Genomic DNA, 16,401 nt, shown 5'->3' with positions numbered 1-16,401 from the left:
ACTTTGGGAGGCCAAGGCAGGTGGATCACGAGGTCAGGAGATCGAAACCATCCTGGCTAACACGGTGAAACCCCATCTTTACTAAAAATACAAAAAATTAGCTGGCCGTGGTGGTGGGTGCCTGTAGTCCCAGCTAGTCGGGAGGCTGAGGCAGGAGAATGGTGTGAACCCAGGAGGTGGAGCTTGCAGTGAGCCGAGATTGCACCACTGCACTCCAACTTGGGCGACAAAGCAAGATTCTCTTTCAAAAAGAAAAAAAAATTAGCTGGGCATGATGGAGCACCTGTAGTTCCAGCTACTTCAGAGGCTGAGGTGGGAGGATCACTTGAGCCCAGGAGGTCAAGGCTGTAGTGAGCTGTAATCTTGCCACTGTACTCGAGCCTGGGCAACAGTGACACCCTGTCTCAAAAAAAAGAGAGGGTAGGCCCGGTGCAGTGGCTCACACCTGTAATCCCAACACTTTGGGAGGTGGGTGAATCACCTGGAGTCAGGAGTTTGAGACCAGCCTGGCCAACATGGTGAAACCCTATCTCTACTACTGAAGAAAAAAAAAAAAAAGAGGGTGGGTAGGAACTCTGTTATCTATTTACAAACAAGGAAATTGTTATGGGAATCACTGAGGAACTTAGCCAAAGTTAACCTAGCAGTAAGTGTTCAGTCTGGCTCCTGAATCTTTTTGAAACAGTCTCACTCTGTCACCCAGGCTGGAGTGCAGTGGTGCCATCTTGGTTCACTGCAACCTCCACCTCTCAGGTTCAAGCGATTCTCATGCCTCAGCCTCCCAAGTAGCTGGGCTTACAGGCGCATGCCACCATGCTCGGTTAACTGTATGTATGTATGTATGTATTTTGAGATGTAGTTTCATTCTTGTTGCCCAGGCTAGAGCATAATGGCATGATCTCAGCTCACTGCAACCTCCGCCTGCCAGGTTCAAGTGATTCTCCTGCGTCAGCCTCCCGAGTCGCTGGGATTACAGGCGTGTGCCACCACACCTGGCTAATTTATTTTTGTATTTTTAGTAGAGACAGGGTTTTGCCATGTTGGCCAGGCTGGTCTCGAACTCCTGACCTTAGGTGATCCACCTGCCTCGGCCTCCCAAAGTGCTGGGATTACAGGCGTGAGCCACCATGCCTGGCCCTAATTGAGATGGAGTCTCACTCTGTCGCGCAGGCTGGAGTGCAGTGGCGGGATCTTGACTCACTGCAAGCTCCACCTCCCGGGTTCACGCCATTCTCCTGCCTCAGCCTCCCGAGGAGCTGGGACTACAGGCGCCCGCCACCACGCCCGGCTGATTTTTGTATTTTTAGTAGAGACGGGGTTTCACCGTGTTAGACAGGATGGTCTTGATCTCCTGACCTCGTGATCTGCCCGCCTCGGCCTCCTAAAGTGCTGGGATTACAGGCGTGAGCCTGGCCCTTTTTTATATTTTTTTTAGTAGAGATGGGGTTTCACCATGTTGGCCAGGCTGGTCCCTAACCCCTGACCTCAGGTGATCTGTCCGCCTCAGCTGCGATTACGGGCATGAGCCACCATGCCAGGCCCTGAAGTTTTTTATGTCCACAAATGTGTATGGAAGGGTGGACTCCAAATGAACTACAGGAAAATACATGAACAACAACAAAAGTTGCAGGCCAGGTGTGGTGGCTCTGGCCTAGAATCACAGCACTTTCACTTTCAGAGGCTGAGGCTGGCGGATCACCTAAGTTCGGGAGACCAGCCCGACCAACATGGAGAAACCCCATCTCTAATAAAAATACAAAATTAGCCGGGCGTGGTGGCATATAATCCCAGCTACTTGGCAGGATAAGGCAGGAGAATCGCTTGAACCCAGGAGGCAGAGGTTGTGGTGAGCCAAGATAGTGCCACTGCACTCCAGCCTGGGGAACAAGAGCAAAACTATGTCTCAAAAAACAAAAAAGGCTGGGCGCGATGGCTCACGCCTGTAATCCCTGCACTTTGGGAGGCCAAGGCGGGCGGATCACGAGGTCAGGAGATCCAAGACCATCCTGGCTAACACAATGAAACCCGTCTCTACTAAAAATACAAAAAAATTAGCCGGGCACCTGTAGTCCCAGCTACTCCGGAGGCTGAGGCAGGAGAATGGCTTGAACCTGGGAGGCAGAGCTTGCAGTGAGCCGAGATCGCGCCACTACATGCTGCCTGGGCGACAGAGCGAGACTCCATCTCAAAGATAAATGAAATAAGTAAATGTCAGGCGTGGTGGCTCACGCCTGTAATCCCAGCATTTCAGGAGGCCGAGGCGGGCGGACGGTGAGGCTAGGAGTTGGAGACCACCCTGGCCAATGTGGTGAAACCCCGTCTCTAGTAAAAATACAAAAATTAGCTGGGCATAGTGGTGCGCGCCTGTGGTCCCAGCTACTCGGGAGGCTGAGGGAGGAGAAATCGCTTGAACCTGGGAGGTGGAGGTTGCAGTGAGCTATCGCGCCACTGCACTCCAGCCTGGCGACAGAGCAAGACTCTGTCCCCCCCGCCCCCCAGAAAAGCAGAAAGTTGCAGTAGAACACATGAAGATTTATTCTTTTTGAAAAATGAAAAATGGGCCAGCATGGTGGCTGTTTGTAATGCCAGCACTTTGGGAGTCCAAGGTGGGCAAATCACAAGGTCGGGAGTTCGAGACCAGCCTGGCCAACATGGTGAAACCCCCATCTCTACTAGAAATACAAAAAATTAGCGGGGCATGGTGGCGGGCACCTGTAGTCCCAGTGATTTGGGAGGCCCAGGCAGAATAATGGGGTGAACCTGGGAGGCAGAGATTGCAGTATGAGTCGAGATCACGCCACTGCACTCTAGCCTGGGCGACAGTGCAAGACTCCATCCCCCCAAAAAAGAAAAATGTTGTCTCGTGTCTGGTGAATCATTCCATTTTTACAAAGTTCAAAAGATACGCAAAATTAAAATGATATTGTTTAGCAATGCACTCAGTAAAACTATTAAGAAAAGCCAGAGGATGATATACCCAGTTAATTCTCCAAGTAGGAAGAAGAAAAAGAGAAATTGAATCAGACAGGTTTGTTTCAAAGTTATTGGTAATGTTCTGGCCAGGCACATCATTTGAGGTCAGGAGTTCGAAACCACCCTGGCCAATATGGTGAAACCCCTATCTCTTCAAAAAATACAAAAATAAGGTGTGCAGCTGTAGCCCCAGCTACTGGGAACGCTGAGGCACGAAAATCACTTGAACCCGGGGAGAGGCTGCAGTGAACCCAAACTGCGCCACTATATTCCAGCCCAGGTGACAAGGTGCAACTGTCTCAAAAAAAAAAAGATGGCTAATTGGGTAGCCGTGGACACTTTACAATCATTAAAAAAAACTCAAATTCGGCCAGGCACAGTGGCTCACACCTGTAATCCCAACACTTTGGGAGGCTGAGGCAGGCGGATGGCTTGAGGTGGGTGGATCACCTGAGGTCAGGAGTTCGAGACCAGCCTGGCCAACATGGTGAAACCTTGTCTCTACTAAAAGTACAAAAAATAGCTAGGGGAGGTGCCAGGCGCCTGTAATCCCAGCTACTCAGGAGGCTGTGAGGCAGGAGAATCACTTGAACTCAAGATGCAGAGGTTGCAGTGAGGCGAGATTTTGCCATTGCACTCCAGCATGGGCAACAAGGGCGAAACTCCACCTCCTCCCCTGCCAGAAAAACCATCTCAAATGATTGTCAAAAGTCTAGTGTATTATACATAATACTATGTCACCCAACCAAGAATCTCTAATATTAGGCTTAAGAGTTAAGCCTAACTCAGCATTAACTAGCTCACGGGGCTTCATCTTTCTTTTTTTTTAAGACGGAGCCTGTCGCCAGGCTGGAAGTGCAGTGGCACGATCTCGGCTCACTGCAACCTTGGACTCCCTGGTTCAAAGCCATTCTCCTGCCTCAGCCTCCCGAGTAGTTGGGATTACAGGTATGTATCACCACACCCAGCTAATTTTTGTCCTTTTTTTGTTTTAGTAGAGACAGGGTTTCACCATGTTGGCCAGGATAATCTCAATCTCCTGACCTTGTGATCCACCCACCTCGGCCTCCCAAAGTGCTGGGATTATAGGCATGAGCAACTTGCGCCCAGCCCCCTTAATCTTTTTGTACCATTGTTCTGAGACCAAACCACGTCTTCTTTACTTTAAAATGCTTTATTGGAATTATTTTGATAAAAGCAAATACTTGTATATAAGACAAATATAGGAAATAGAAGCTATCTACTTGAAGTGCCCCCTAATTTTCAGGCATTTTTCCCCCAATAAGGTGACAGCTGCTCACACAGGATAATACAGGAAAGTTGTAAGTTCTTAGGATATGCCCAGCACCAGGCGGAAGATATTGTGTCAGCAAATTCCTGAAAAATAATAAAAAGAACATTAGAACCATATGAGATGCACCAATAAAAAAACGATTTCATATCCTTTGCAGCAACATGGATGCAACCACAGGCCATGATCCTCAGTGAATCAATACAGAACAGAAAACCAGATACCATATGTTCTTACTTGTAAGTGGGAGCTAAATGTTGAGTATACATGGACATAAAGATGGCAACAGACACTGGGGAGAGGAAATGGGGCAAAGGTTTAATAACTATTGGGTACTATGCCCACTACCTGGGTGATGGGGATAATCCTACCCCAAACCTCAGCATCATACAATGAACCCAAGTAACAAAACTGCACATATACCCCCTAAATCTACAATAAAAGCTGAGGCTGGGCATGGCAGCTCACGCCTGTCAATTCCAACACTTTGGGAGGCCAAGGCAGAAGTGTTCGGAGGCCAAGGCAAGACAATCACTTGAGCCCAGGAGTTTCAGACCAGCTTGAGCACCATAGTGGGACCCCATTATCTACAGCTTTTTTTTTTTTGAGATGGAGTCTTGCTCTGTTGCCCAGGGTGAAGTGCAATGGCGCAGTGCAATGGCGCCATATCAGCTCACTGCAACCTCCACCTCCCAGGTTCAAGCGATTCTTCTGCCTCAGCCTCCCAAGTAGCTGGAATTACAGGCGCCCGCCACCCATGCCCAGCTAATTTTTGTATTTTTAGTAGACAGGGTTTCACGGTGTTGGCCAGGCTGGTCTTCAACTCCTGACCTCAGGTGATCCACCCACCTTGGCCTCCCAAAGAGCTGAGATTACAGGCATGAGCCACCACACCCATCCTCAAATTTAAAAAAAAAAAAATTAGCCGGGGATAGTGGTGCATGCCTGTAAGTCATTAGCTACTCCAAGGGTGAGGTGAGAGGTGAGCTTCCACCCAGGAGGTTGAGGCTGCAGTGAGCTGTGACTGCACCACTGCACTCCAGCCTGGGTGACAGAGCAAGACTGTCTCAAAAAATAGAATAAAATTGTCAGATGCTATGGCTCACACCTGTAATCCCAGCACTTTGGGAGGCTAGGGCGGGCAAATCACCTGAGATCAGGAGTTCAAGACCAACATGGTGAAAACTCCCATCTCTACTAAAAATACAAAATTAGCTGGGCATGGTGGCGCATGCCTGTAATCCCAAGTACTCGGGAGGCTGAGGTTACAATGAGCTGAGAATGTGCCACTGCACTCCAGCCTGGGCGACAAAGTGAAACTCCATCTCAAACAAAAAATAAATAAAAATACATGTTGCGGGCTGGGCTCGGTGGCTAATACCTGTAATCTGAGCACTTTGGGAGGTCAAGGTGGGCAGATCTCTTGGTCAGGAGTTCAAGACCAGCCCGGCCAACATGGTGAAACCCTCTACTAAAAATACAAAAATTAGCCGGGACTGGTGGCGCATGCCTGTAATCCCAGCTACTTGGGAGGCTGAGGCAGAATTGCTTGAACCTGGGAGGCAGAGGCTGCAGTAAGCCAAGAGTGTACCACTGCACTCCAGCCTGGATGACAGAGCAAGACAGTCTCAAAAAACACACAAAACATGTTGGGGTGGGGCACAGTGGCTCACTGAGGCAGGAGTTGAAGACCAGCCTGTGCACAAAGTGAGACCCTGTAATACAGTTTAGATCTGTCTCCCCACCAAATCTCATATTGAATTGTAATGGATCACTGGGGTGGATTCCTCATGAATGGCTTAAGCACCATCCTCCTTGATGCTGTGCTCATGACAGTCAGTTCTCTAGAGATCAATTTATTAAAAATGTGTGGCACCTCCCTGCCTTTGCTGCTGCTCTGGCCATGCTACATCCCTGCTTCCCTCTGTACCTTATGCAATATAGTTTCCTGAGGCCCCCACCAGAGGCTGAGCAGATGCCAACACCATGCTTCCTGTACATCCTGCAGAACCATAGCCAATTAAACCTCATCATGTAAGTAACTGGCCATAAAAACATGAATTACAGGAGATTGCCGGCAGGATGAAGGTGGATCAGGTGGGTTCAAAGATCCTCAGAGAAAAGCTCAGAGACTCTTGTCCAACCAGATCATCATTACCACTCCCACTGAGAGCCAAAACAAAAGATACTCACCATAGCAAGGAAGGAGAACAGGCATGGCTCTCCACCTCTCCCAGCCTGAAGGTCAAGTTGCAGGAATCACTGTCTAAGCATGACAGCCATACAAAGCTTCTCTCCATGAGGGGGAGATTCCAAACCTTAGACCTTCACTCAGATTAGTGCAGAATCTCTGTGAAGGTGCATTGTCCCTGGCTGGGCTTCCAGAGTTCATTCTAACAAGGTGAAAACAAGACAATTTGAAAATAAACAGAATTATGGCCCTCCCATTGGCCCTTCTGGAGACCCAAGTATCCAGTTCCCTAAATGAGTCAGAACTTAGTTTTGACATCATGACCAGCATCGGAGACTCTAGTCTGTGAAATCATCATTCCCAATTAGGGAGATCTGGATCAAGGGAAGCTCTTCTGGAAAGAGATCTAGTACACTCAAAGAAAACACAACAGTCCCAGTATATATTGATCTAACAAATGAGTCCAGGAGTGGACGTTAGAAAGGGAGGAGTAGAAAGTAATTTAAAACAGCAGAGAACAGCTCCACTGGGAGGCCCCAGTGTACTCCTATTTTGCAGTAGAAATGAGGGGAGGAGTCAGGTTACCCAGCCTTTAACAAAAATACGGGGATTTATTAAAACGTAAAAATACAGGCCGGGCAAAGTGGCTCACGCCTGTAATCCCGGCACTTTGGGAGGCCGAAGGGCGTGGATCAACTGAGGTCAGGAGTTTGAGACCAGCCTGACCAACATGAGTGAGACTCATGTCCCCCCGCCCCCTAAAAAAGTAAAAATAGAATAGTCACAAGGAAAATGATGTAAACTAAAAAGAGTAAGACTGTCCCCCCGCCCCCCAAAAAAGTAAAAATAGTCACAAGGAAAATGATGTAAACCAAAAAGTAATCTCTAGAAAGTCACCAACACCAGACGCAGCAACTCACCCCTGTAATTCCAGCACTTTGGGAGACTGAGGCAGGAGGACTGCTTGAGCCCAGGAGTAGAGACCAGCCTGGACAACATGGCAAAAGCCCGCTTCTGTAAAAAAACTAAAAATTAGCCAGGCGTGGTGGTAGCACGTGCCTGCAGTCCCAGGAAGCTGAGGTGGAAAGACCACTTGAGCCCTGACGGTGGATGTTGCAGGGAGATCCTGGCATTGCGCCCTGTCTCAAAAACAAAATAGCAAAAACAAACAAATGGAAGTCACCACCTGTGGTACATGGATTATAGCTCAAAAAAGAAAAAGTGGCCGGGCACAGCGGCTCACGAGGTCAGGAGATGGAGACCATCCTGGCCAACATGGTGAAACCCCTTCTACTAAAAACAGAAAAATTAGCCGAGTGTGGTGGCGCGGGCCTGTAGTCCCAGCTAATCGGCAGGCTGAGGCAGGACAATCGATTGAACCCGGGAGGCAGAGGTTGCAGGGAGATCGTACCATTGCCAGCCCGGGCAACAAGATCAAGACTCCATCTCAAAAAAAAAAAAAAAAAAAGGAAAAAATTGGCTAAGGTGGGAGAATCGGTTAAACCCGGGAGTTGAAGGCCGCACTGAATTGTGTTCTTGCCACTGCATTCCAGCCAGGGTGACAGGGAGGCTGTCTTAAAAAAAAAAAAAAAAAAAGGCCGGGCGCGGTGGCTCACGCCTGTAATCCCAGCACTTTGGGAGGCCGAGAGGGGCGGATCACGAGGTCAGCAGATCGAGACCATCCTGGCTAACACAGTGAAACCCCTTATCTATTAAAAAATACAAAAAATTAGCCAGGCTTGGTGGCATGCGCCTGTAATCCCAGCTAATCGGGAGGCTGAGGCAGGAGAATCGCTTGATCCCAGAAGGCGCAGGTTGCAGTGAGATCGTGCCACCGCACTTCAGCCTGGGTGACAAGGCGAGACTGTCTCAAAAAAAAAAAAAAAAAAAAGGGCAGGGAGGCGCATAATGCCCATGAACGAAAGCTTGCTTGGGAACAAAGCTTTCCGAAGAGGCATTCAAAAGGCTCTCGCACCTAATACTCACCTTTACTCAAGGATAACACGGCGATGAACGTCTTACAACTCCTAACGGGGAAATGAAACAGAACAAAAGATTAGGAATCTTGGCCATGAACTCGTTGAGCCTGAGAAATGCTGGACCGAGGGGGCGGTCAGAGCGCTGCGGTGATGGCATCAGCGACACACTCAAGAGTTACCTGGGGTCATCATCACTCCCTTCCTATCCCCGGGCGACCGCCACCCCCATTTTGCAATCACTCGCCCAACCCCACTCACAGTTGTTTTGAGTCAGCAGGGGCTGTGGGGCCGCTAGCCGAGTTCCCCCTGCCACGAGCTAGGTCAGTTCCAAGCAAAGACACCAGAAACTCCAGTGTGCAACGGTAGTTCACCCAACTGCACTGGGGACCGCCCTCTCCTACCCCAGCCAGGCCGCGACGTGGCCGCCCGCCGGCTGCTGCGCAAAGGCAGCGCAAGCCGTTGGGATCCCCTGCTCCCCCTCACTCAACAGTCGGGCCATTACAACTCTCATACTGCCAACCCACGAGCCCACTTCGCAAAAAGAACTAAAATGGCGAGGCCGGGGCCATTTATGGCGGCGCCGGGTTGGGGGCCTGACGGGTATAGTTGTTTTCTTATCTGCCTGGCTAGACGCGCGGCATTTTCCCCATTGTTTGTCCACACAGAAATAAAACAAAGTGAAAGAAAGACCAGGAAAGTATGTTTCACACTCCTCTGGGCAAATATTCGGAGATGCTTTCTGAATTTTGAAAAACAAAAAACAGGGATCTGTCTGGCCAGGCGGAAGAAAGTCCCCGGCGCCGGCCGGCCAGCGCCAGCCGGGTGCTGCTCCTAAGCCGTTTCCCAGCAGCCCATGGTCCGTTAATGACCCTGGGACTCTTCCCGCGCGCGCGCGGGCGCGCGCAGCTGCGCCAGTTTAGCGTCCAGCTACCCTGACACTTCGCACTCCGTTCCCCCAGCGAAATCTGAATTTGCCTCCCAGTTCGATCCCGCAGACTGTCAGGCACCCTAACCTTCAATTAAACAAAACAAAACAAAAACCAAAAACCCAAAAGGCAGGTCGGACGTAATAGGTCACGCCTGTAATCTCAACACTTTGGACAGGCCCAGGCAGAGGATCATTTGAGGCCCGGAGTTCGGGACCAGCCTGGGCAAATAGTGACACCCAACCCCCGTCTCTATTTATTTAAAAATTAGGCCGGGCGCGGTGGCTCACGCCTGTAATCCCAGCACTTTGAGAGGCCGAGGCAGGTGGATCACGAGGTCAGGAGATCGAGACCATCCTGGCTAACACGGTGAAACCCCGTCTCTACTAAAAAAAAATTAGCAGAGTGTGGTGGCGGCGCCTGTAGTCCCAGCTACTCGGGAGGCTGAGGCAGGAAAATGGCGTGAACCCAGGACGCCGAGCTTGCAGTGAGCCGAGATTGCGCCACTGCACTCCAGCCTGGGCGACAGGGCGAGACTCTGTCTCAAAAAAAAAAAAATTATTGAAACTCATAAGTCATTTCAAATCCTTTCTGGACCCTTTCCTATCGCCCCCATTTATAAACGCGTATGATGTTTGGTGATGTGTGTTGTGTGTGTTGGTATCTTTTTCTTTTTTGAGACGGAGTCTGACTCTGTTGCCCAGGCTGGAGAGCAGTGGCGGGATCTCGGCTCACTGCAACCTCCGCTTCCTCGGTTCAAGCGATTTTCCTGCCTCAGCCTCCGAAGTAGCAAGGATTACAGGTGCACACAACCATGCCTGGCTAATTTTTATATTTTTAGTAGAGTCAGGGTTTCACCATGTAAGCCAGGCTGGTCTCGAACTCCTGACTTCAGGTGATTTGCCTGCCTAGGCCTCCACAAAGTGCCAGGATTATAGGTGTGAGCCACCGAGCCTGGCCTCTTCCTTTTTTTTTTTTTCTTTTTCTTTTTTTTTTTTTTTGAGATAGGGTCTTGCTCTGTTACCCAGATTGGAGTGCAGTGGCATGATCTCGGCTTACTACAACCTCTGCCTCCCGGGTTCAAGTGATTCTCTTGCCTCAGCCTCCTGAGTAGCTGAGATTACAGGCATCTGCCACCACACCCAGTTAATTTTATATATTTTTAGTAGAGACAGGGGTTTTCACCATGTTGGCCCAGGCTGGTTTTGAACTGGTGAACCTCAGTGATCCTCCCACCTCGGCCTCCCAAAGTGCTGGGATTACAGGCGTGAGCCACCGTGGCCAGCCCAGTTCAGTGGTTTTCTCCACATTGGCTGCAAATTACAAACACCTGGGCAGCTTTAAATGTCTACACTGCCCTCTTTGAGATTCTGAATTGGCCTGAGAGAGGCCTGGCATCTGTATTTTTTTAGCATCCCTTAATCGTTTTATTGTTCCATTACGGTGGAGAGCCATGGCTCAAAGCTAAAGTATTTGTTCCCTCTACTGCCTGGCAAGTATATAAAAAAAAGATTAGCTATGGGTGGTGGCATACACGTGTAGTCCCAGCTAATCAGGAGGCTAAGGATCAATTGAGCCCAGGAGGTCGAGGCTGCCATGAACCGTGATCATACCACTGCACTCTAGCCTGGGCAACAGAGTGAGACCCTGCCTTAAAAAAAATATATATATATACAGAAAGCCCTAATTCCTGCTGTTTTGGCAGTTAAGCTGCCTTTACTAAGTGCTATGGTCAGAGGCTTTAGTTCCTCTTTTTTTTTTTTTTTTTTTTTTTGAGACAGAGTTTCGCTCTTGTTGCCCAGGCTGGAGTGCAATGGCGCGATCTCGGCTCACAGCAACCTCCGCCTCCCAGGTTCAAGCCATTCTCCTGCCTCAGCCTCCAGGGTAGCTGGGATTACAGGCATGCGCCACCACACCCGGCTAATTTTGTATTTTTAGTAGAGATGGGGTTTCTCCATGTTGGTCAGGCTGGTCTCGAACTCCAGACCTCAGGTGATCCGCCCGCCTCGGCCTCCCAAAGTGCTGGGATTATAGGTGTGAGCCACCGCGCCTGGCCTAGTTCATCTCTTTCATTAATAAAACAGGCCTTTAAGAATTGGCCCAAGGGCCGGGCATAGTGGCTCACGCCTATAATCCCAGCACTTTGGGAGGCCAAGGCAGGCAGATCACCTGAGGTCAGGAGTTCGAGACCAGCCTGCCCAACATGGCGGAAACCTCGTCTGTACTAAAAATACAAAAAATTAGCTGAGCATAGTGGCCGGTGCCTGTAATCCCAGCTACTTGGGAGGCTGAGGCAGGAGAATCGTTTGAACCTGGGAGGTAGAGGTTGCAGTGAGCCGAGATTGCTCCACTGTACTCCAGCCTGGGCAACAAAAGTGAAACTCTGTCTCAAAAAAAAAAAAAAAAAAAAAAAACTTGGCCCCAAAACCAAAGAAACTTACTATATTCCTTTTCTTTTATACACTTTCAAGGAGGATTTCCAGTATTATGTAATCCTTAAAACGTTTTAAGGATTTAAAACATTTTAAAACCCTAGAGGGTAAGGATTTACACAAAGGTGCAACACAGGACTTTAACCGTTTTATTTATGTTTTTTTGAGATGAAGTATTGCTCTGTCACCCAGGGTGGAGTACAGTGGCGCAATCTCAACTCACTACAACCTCCGCCTCCAGGGTTCAAGTGATTCTCCTTCCTCAGCCTTCCATGTAGCTGGGATTATAGACATGCCCCACCGTGCCCACCTAGTAGAGACAGGGTTTCACCATGTTGACCAGGCTGGTCTGGAACTCCTGACCTTAGGTGATCCAACCGTCCCACCTCGGTCTCCCAAAGTGCTGGGATTACAGGCGTGAGCCCCCACGCCCGGCCAGCTAATTCTATTGTTTTTTGTAGAGATGGGTTTTCGCTATGTTGGCCAGGCTGGTTTTGAACTCCGGACCTCAAGTGATCCGCCCACCTCACCCTCCCTAAATTCTGGGATTATAGGCATGAGCCATCGCACCTGGCCCATTTTATTTGATTTTTAAATTCTTTTTGTAAATTGACAAACTTTAGTTGCATATATTGGTACAAAGTAGTTATTAACACAATATGGAGTAATTAAATCAAGCTAATTAACATATCACCTCAAATATTTTTGTGACAAGAACATTTGAAATTTTGAAATATACAATACACTATTAACTATTTTCACCATGCCATGCAATATATACCCTCCACCCACCACCCCCCCAAAAAAAAACACAAAAACTGGCAGGGCACAGTGGCTCACGCCTATAATCCCAGCACTTTGGGAGGACTAGACAAGGGGATCGCTTGAGCTGAAGAGTTCGAGACCAACCTGGGCAACACAGCAAGACTTCGTCTCTACAAAATACAAAAAATTAGCTGAGCATGATGGCACATACCTGTAGACCCAGTACTCAGGAGGCTAAGGTGGGAGGATTGCTTGAACCCAGGAGTTTGAGACTACAGTGAGCTCTACTGTGCTCCAGCCTGGGTGACAGAGCAATATCCCGTTTCAAAAAAAAAAAAATACAATTTATTTCTCCTGACTAAGGCTTTGTTTCCCTTGCACGTCTCCCCATTCCCCCATCCCACAGCCCTTGGTGACCACCACTTCTCTGCTTCTGAGTTCTACTGTTTAGATTCCACATATAAATGAATATGAGCCGAGGTCAGGAGATTGAGACCATCCTGGCTAACACGGTAAAACCCTGTCTCTACCAAAAATACAAAAAATTAGCCAGGCGTGGTGGCAGGCGCCTGTAGTCCCAGTTACTCAGGAGGCTGAGGCAGGAGAATCGCTTGAACCCGGGAGGCGGAAGTTACCGTGAGCTGAGATTGCGCCACTGCACTCCAGCCTGGGCGACAAGAGTGAGAGTGAGACTCCGTCTCAAAAAAAAAAAAAAAAAAAGTCAGCATTTTTTTGTGGACTCCGCTCACTAAGTAGAAGAGGGAGAGAAAACCACCATAATCCCATCTCAGCACCACCCCTCCCCTCCCCGCCCCAGTGAACCCACCTCAACCACCCCTCCAATACCGTTTTGCAGCTGCCATCCGACTTTTCCCTGAAACAAGCCCCACTCTAATCAAGACGGGCACCTGCAATTTCTCTTAAGGCCCACAATTAAGCCCAAACAAAAATATGTGTAGCTCTAACTCCTACACGTATAACTCTTCAGCAGTACTGTTCTTTTCAGACTATAAAGATAGATGGTATTCAGACACTATCCCTCCGCAAATATCCATTATCTTCACATATTAACAGACAAGAAAAAGTTTAACATTTTATTTTTCATATTTAAATAAACAAATTATAAAAACATACATTCCCAGCCTTTGTAGTGTTTTCGCCAAGCAAAAAAAAAAAAAAAAAAAAAAAACAAACAAACTCGTACAGAAGGTGGCAGTGTTGATTCATTTAAAGGGAACGAAACACCCTTACAGTATCAACATTAAATGCAAAGAATTCTAATGAACATATCGGTTGTACTACAAAAATAATGAAGCCAGCTAATTACCATCAGGTTACAACTTTACAAAGAAGTGAAGCAGCAAAGAGCTGAAGCAGAAATGACATAGGAAAACAGCAGCAAAGTCCTTGAGTCCCAACAGTCCACCTCAAAGACAAACATACTAAAGAACAAAGGCCCCTAATCCACCTCCTCAATGGTAGGGCCTGACCCAGACCCTCCCTTGGGACCCTGAGCCCCGAAGCCGCCAGGCCCGGGACCACCGGCACCCTGGTACAGTCCGCTGATGATGGGGTTACACACCTGCTCCAGCTCCTTCCTCTTGTGCTCAAACTCGTCCTTCTCGGCCAAGGTGTTGGCGTCCAGCCACGAGATGACCTCTTGACACTTGTCCAGAACCTTCTTCTTGTCCGCCTCGCTGATCTTGCCCTTGAGCCCCTCATCCTCCACGGCGCTCTTCATGTTGAAGGCGTAGGACTCCAGGGCGTTCTTGGCTGACACCCTCTCGCGCTGCACCTCGTCCTCCGCTTTGTACTTCTCCGCCTCCTGCACCATGCGCTCGATCTCCTCCTTGCTCAGGCGGCCCTTGTCGTTGGTGATGGTGATCTTGTTGGCCTTGCCGGTGCTCTTGTCCGTGGCCGTGACGTTCAGGATGCCGTTGGCATCGATGTCGAAGGTCACCTCGATCTGGGGCACGCCCCTGGGGGCCGGAGGGATGCCGCTCAGCTCGAAGCGCCCCAACAGATTGTTGTCTTTCGTCATGGCCCTCTCGCCCTCGTACACCTGGATCAGCACCCCGGGTTGGTTGTCGGAGTAGGTGGTGAAGATCTGCGTCTGCTTGGTGGGGATGGTGGAGTTGCGCTTGATCAGGGCAGTCATCACGCCTCCGGCCGTCTCCAGCCCCAGCGACAGGGGAGCCACGTCCAGCAGCAGCAGGTCCTGCACGTTCTCGGACTTGTCCCCCATCAGGATGGCCGCCTGCACCGCCGCCCCGTAGGCCACAGCCTCGTCGGGGTTGATGCTCTTGTTCAGGTCGCGCCCGTTGAAGAAGTCCTGCAGCAGCTTCTGCACCTTGGGGATGCGGGTGGAGCCCCCGACCAGGACCAGGTCGTGAATCTGGGCCTTGTCCAGCTTGGCGTCGCGCAGAGCCTTCTCCACGGGCTCCAGGGTGCTTCGGAACAGGTCGGAGCACAGCTCCTCGAACCTCGCCCTGGTGATGGACGTGTAGAAGTCGATGCCCTCAAACAGGGAGTCGATCTCCAGGCTGGCCTGGGTGCTGGACGACAGGGTCCTCTTGGCCCTCTCGCAGGCGGTGCGCAGCCGCCTCACGGCTCGCTTGTTCTGGCTGATGTCCTTCTTGTGTTTTCTCTTGAACTCCTCCACGAAGTGGTTCACCAGCCTGTTGTCAAAGTCCTCCCCACCCAGGTGGGTGTCCCCGGCCGTGGCCTTCACCTCGAAGATGCCGTCGTCGATCGTCAGGATGGACACGTCGAAGGTGCCCCCGCCCAGGTCAAAGATGAGCACGTTGCGCTCCCCCTTGCCCGTTCTGTCCAGGCCGTAGGCGATGGCGGCGGCCGTGGGCTCGTTGATGATCCGCAGCACGTTGAGCCCCGCGATCACACCCGCATCCTTGGTGGCCTGGCGCTGCGAGTCGTTGAAGTAGGCCGGCACGGTGATCACCGCGTTGGTCACCGGGTAGCCCAGGTACGCCTCGGCGATCTCCTTCATCTTGGTCAGCACCATGGACGAGATCTCCTCGGGGTAGAATGCCTTGGTCTCCCCCTTGTAGCTCACCTGCACCTTGGGCTTGTCTCCGTCGTTGATCACCTGGAAAGGCCAGTGCTTCATGTCCGACTGCACCACCGGGTCGCCGAACTTGCGGCCAATCAGCCGCTTCGCGTCAAACACGGTGTTCTGCGGGTTCAGCGCCACCTGGTTCTTGGCCGCATCCCCGATGAGCCGCTCGGTGTCCGTGAAGGCCACGTAGCTGGGGGTGGTGCGGTTGCCCTGGTCGTTGGCGATGATCTCCACCTTGCCGTGTTGGAACACCCCCACGCAGGAGTAGGTGGTGCCCAGGTCGATGCCGATCGCCGCGGCTTTGGCCATGCCGGTGCCCTGCTCTGTGGGCTCCGCTCTGAGACTGGGGGCTGGAAACGGCGGACGGGATCCGCGACAAGAGCTCAGTCCTTCGGAACGCCGGAAACTCAACACGCCGGTGCCTGCAGCCGCACAGGTTCGCTCTGGAAAGCCTTGGGACCGCGGGAGTCACTCTCGAAAGACGAAGCGGACCCTCGCAGCAGCTCCTCAGGCTGGCCGTTTTCCGGACCGCGCGCCCCTCGGCTTTTATAAGTCGTCGTGGAGACCCGCCTTTCCCCTTCTGAGCCAATCACCAAGCTCGATGAGGCTGCCAGGTCGGGAATATTCCAGGGGTTTCGCCTCCCGTCCTGCCCCCCAGCCTTCCTTGGACCAATCAGAGGGCAGGGTGCCGCCCTCTGCTCAGAACTCTCCAGAGTCTTCTGGGATTCACTGGAGGGGACAGGGGCCCTGAGAGAAAGGGGGAGTGGT

At 50.7% G+C, this 16,401-nt stretch overlaps 1 protein-coding gene, 1 long non-coding RNA gene and 2 other non-coding genes across 12 annotated transcripts, besides 3 other annotated features; all 4 read right to left on the bottom strand.

Moving 5' to 3' along the window:
• Positions 1-4,131: 4,131 nt before the first annotated feature.
• On the bottom strand, positions 4,132-8,977 carry SNHG32 (small nucleolar RNA host gene 32). 9 transcript variants are annotated; one of them, NR_160946.1, is made up of 5 exons: positions 8,693-8,977; positions 8,442-8,482; positions 7,376-7,480; positions 6,458-6,657; positions 4,132-4,350 (listed from the first exon to the last, which is right to left on the bottom strand). It is a non-coding gene; the product is annotated as a small nucleolar RNA host gene 32 (long non-coding RNA). The 9 variants fall into 9 exon arrangements; NR_160949.1 differs by having other exon boundaries at positions 7,376-7,469; NR_160951.1 differs by having other exon boundaries at positions 7,376-7,469; positions 8,836-8,977.
• On the bottom strand, positions 6,754-6,817 carry SNORD52 (small nucleolar RNA, C/D box 52). The gene has a single exon (NR_002742.2). It is a non-coding gene; the product is annotated as a small nucleolar RNA, C/D box 52 (small nucleolar RNA).
• On the bottom strand, positions 8,567-8,630 carry SNORD48 (small nucleolar RNA, C/D box 48). The gene is given in 1 exon segment (NR_002745.1): positions 8,567-8,630. It is a non-coding gene; the product is annotated as a small nucleolar RNA, C/D box 48 (small nucleolar RNA).
• Positions 9,142-9,840: an enhancer, noted in NCBI's record as "H3K27ac hESC enhancer chr6:31801830-31802528 (GRCh37/hg19 assembly coordinates)". NCBI's record gives its function as "activates a minimal SCP1, AML or CMV promoter by ChIP-STARR-seq in naive H9 embryonic stem cells {active_cell/tissue: H9 hESC(naive)}" and the evidence as "EXISTENCE:reporter gene assay evidence [ECO:0000049][PMID:30033119]".
• Positions 13,639-16,155, bottom strand: HSPA1B (heat shock protein family A (Hsp70) member 1B). Its single transcript, NM_005346.6, has one exon. It carries the CDS (start codon positions 15,940-15,942, stop codon positions 14,017-14,019), a length of 1,926 nt encoding a protein of 641 aa, NP_005337.2. The 5' UTR covers positions 15,943-16,155; the 3' UTR covers positions 13,639-14,016.
• Positions 15,134-15,762: an enhancer, noted in NCBI's record as "H3K27ac-H3K4me1 hESC enhancer chr6:31795908-31796536 (GRCh37/hg19 assembly coordinates)". NCBI's record gives its function as "activates a minimal SCP1, AML or CMV promoter by ChIP-STARR-seq in naive H9 embryonic stem cells {active_cell/tissue: H9 hESC(naive)}" and the evidence as "EXISTENCE:reporter gene assay evidence [ECO:0000049][PMID:30033119]".
• Positions 15,763-16,392: an enhancer, noted in NCBI's record as "H3K27ac-H3K4me1 hESC enhancer chr6:31795278-31795907 (GRCh37/hg19 assembly coordinates)". NCBI's record gives its function as "activates a minimal SCP1, AML or CMV promoter by ChIP-STARR-seq in naive H9 embryonic stem cells {active_cell/tissue: H9 hESC(naive)}" and the evidence as "EXISTENCE:reporter gene assay evidence [ECO:0000049][PMID:30033119]".

The sequence above is a fragment of the Homo sapiens genome, chromosome 6 (assembly GCF_000001405.40).
Source record: "Homo sapiens chromosome 6, GRCh38.p14 Primary Assembly".
Lineage (NCBI taxonomy): Eukaryota > Metazoa > Chordata > Mammalia > Primates > Hominidae > Homo > Homo sapiens.
This window is presented reverse-complemented; position numbering and strand designations above follow the sequence as displayed.

Coding starts and splice junctions, on each gene's coding strand:
- HSPA1B (NM_005346.6), bottom strand. CDS start 15,942: ATGGCCAAAGCCGCGGCGATCGGCATCGACCTGGGCACCACCTACTCC.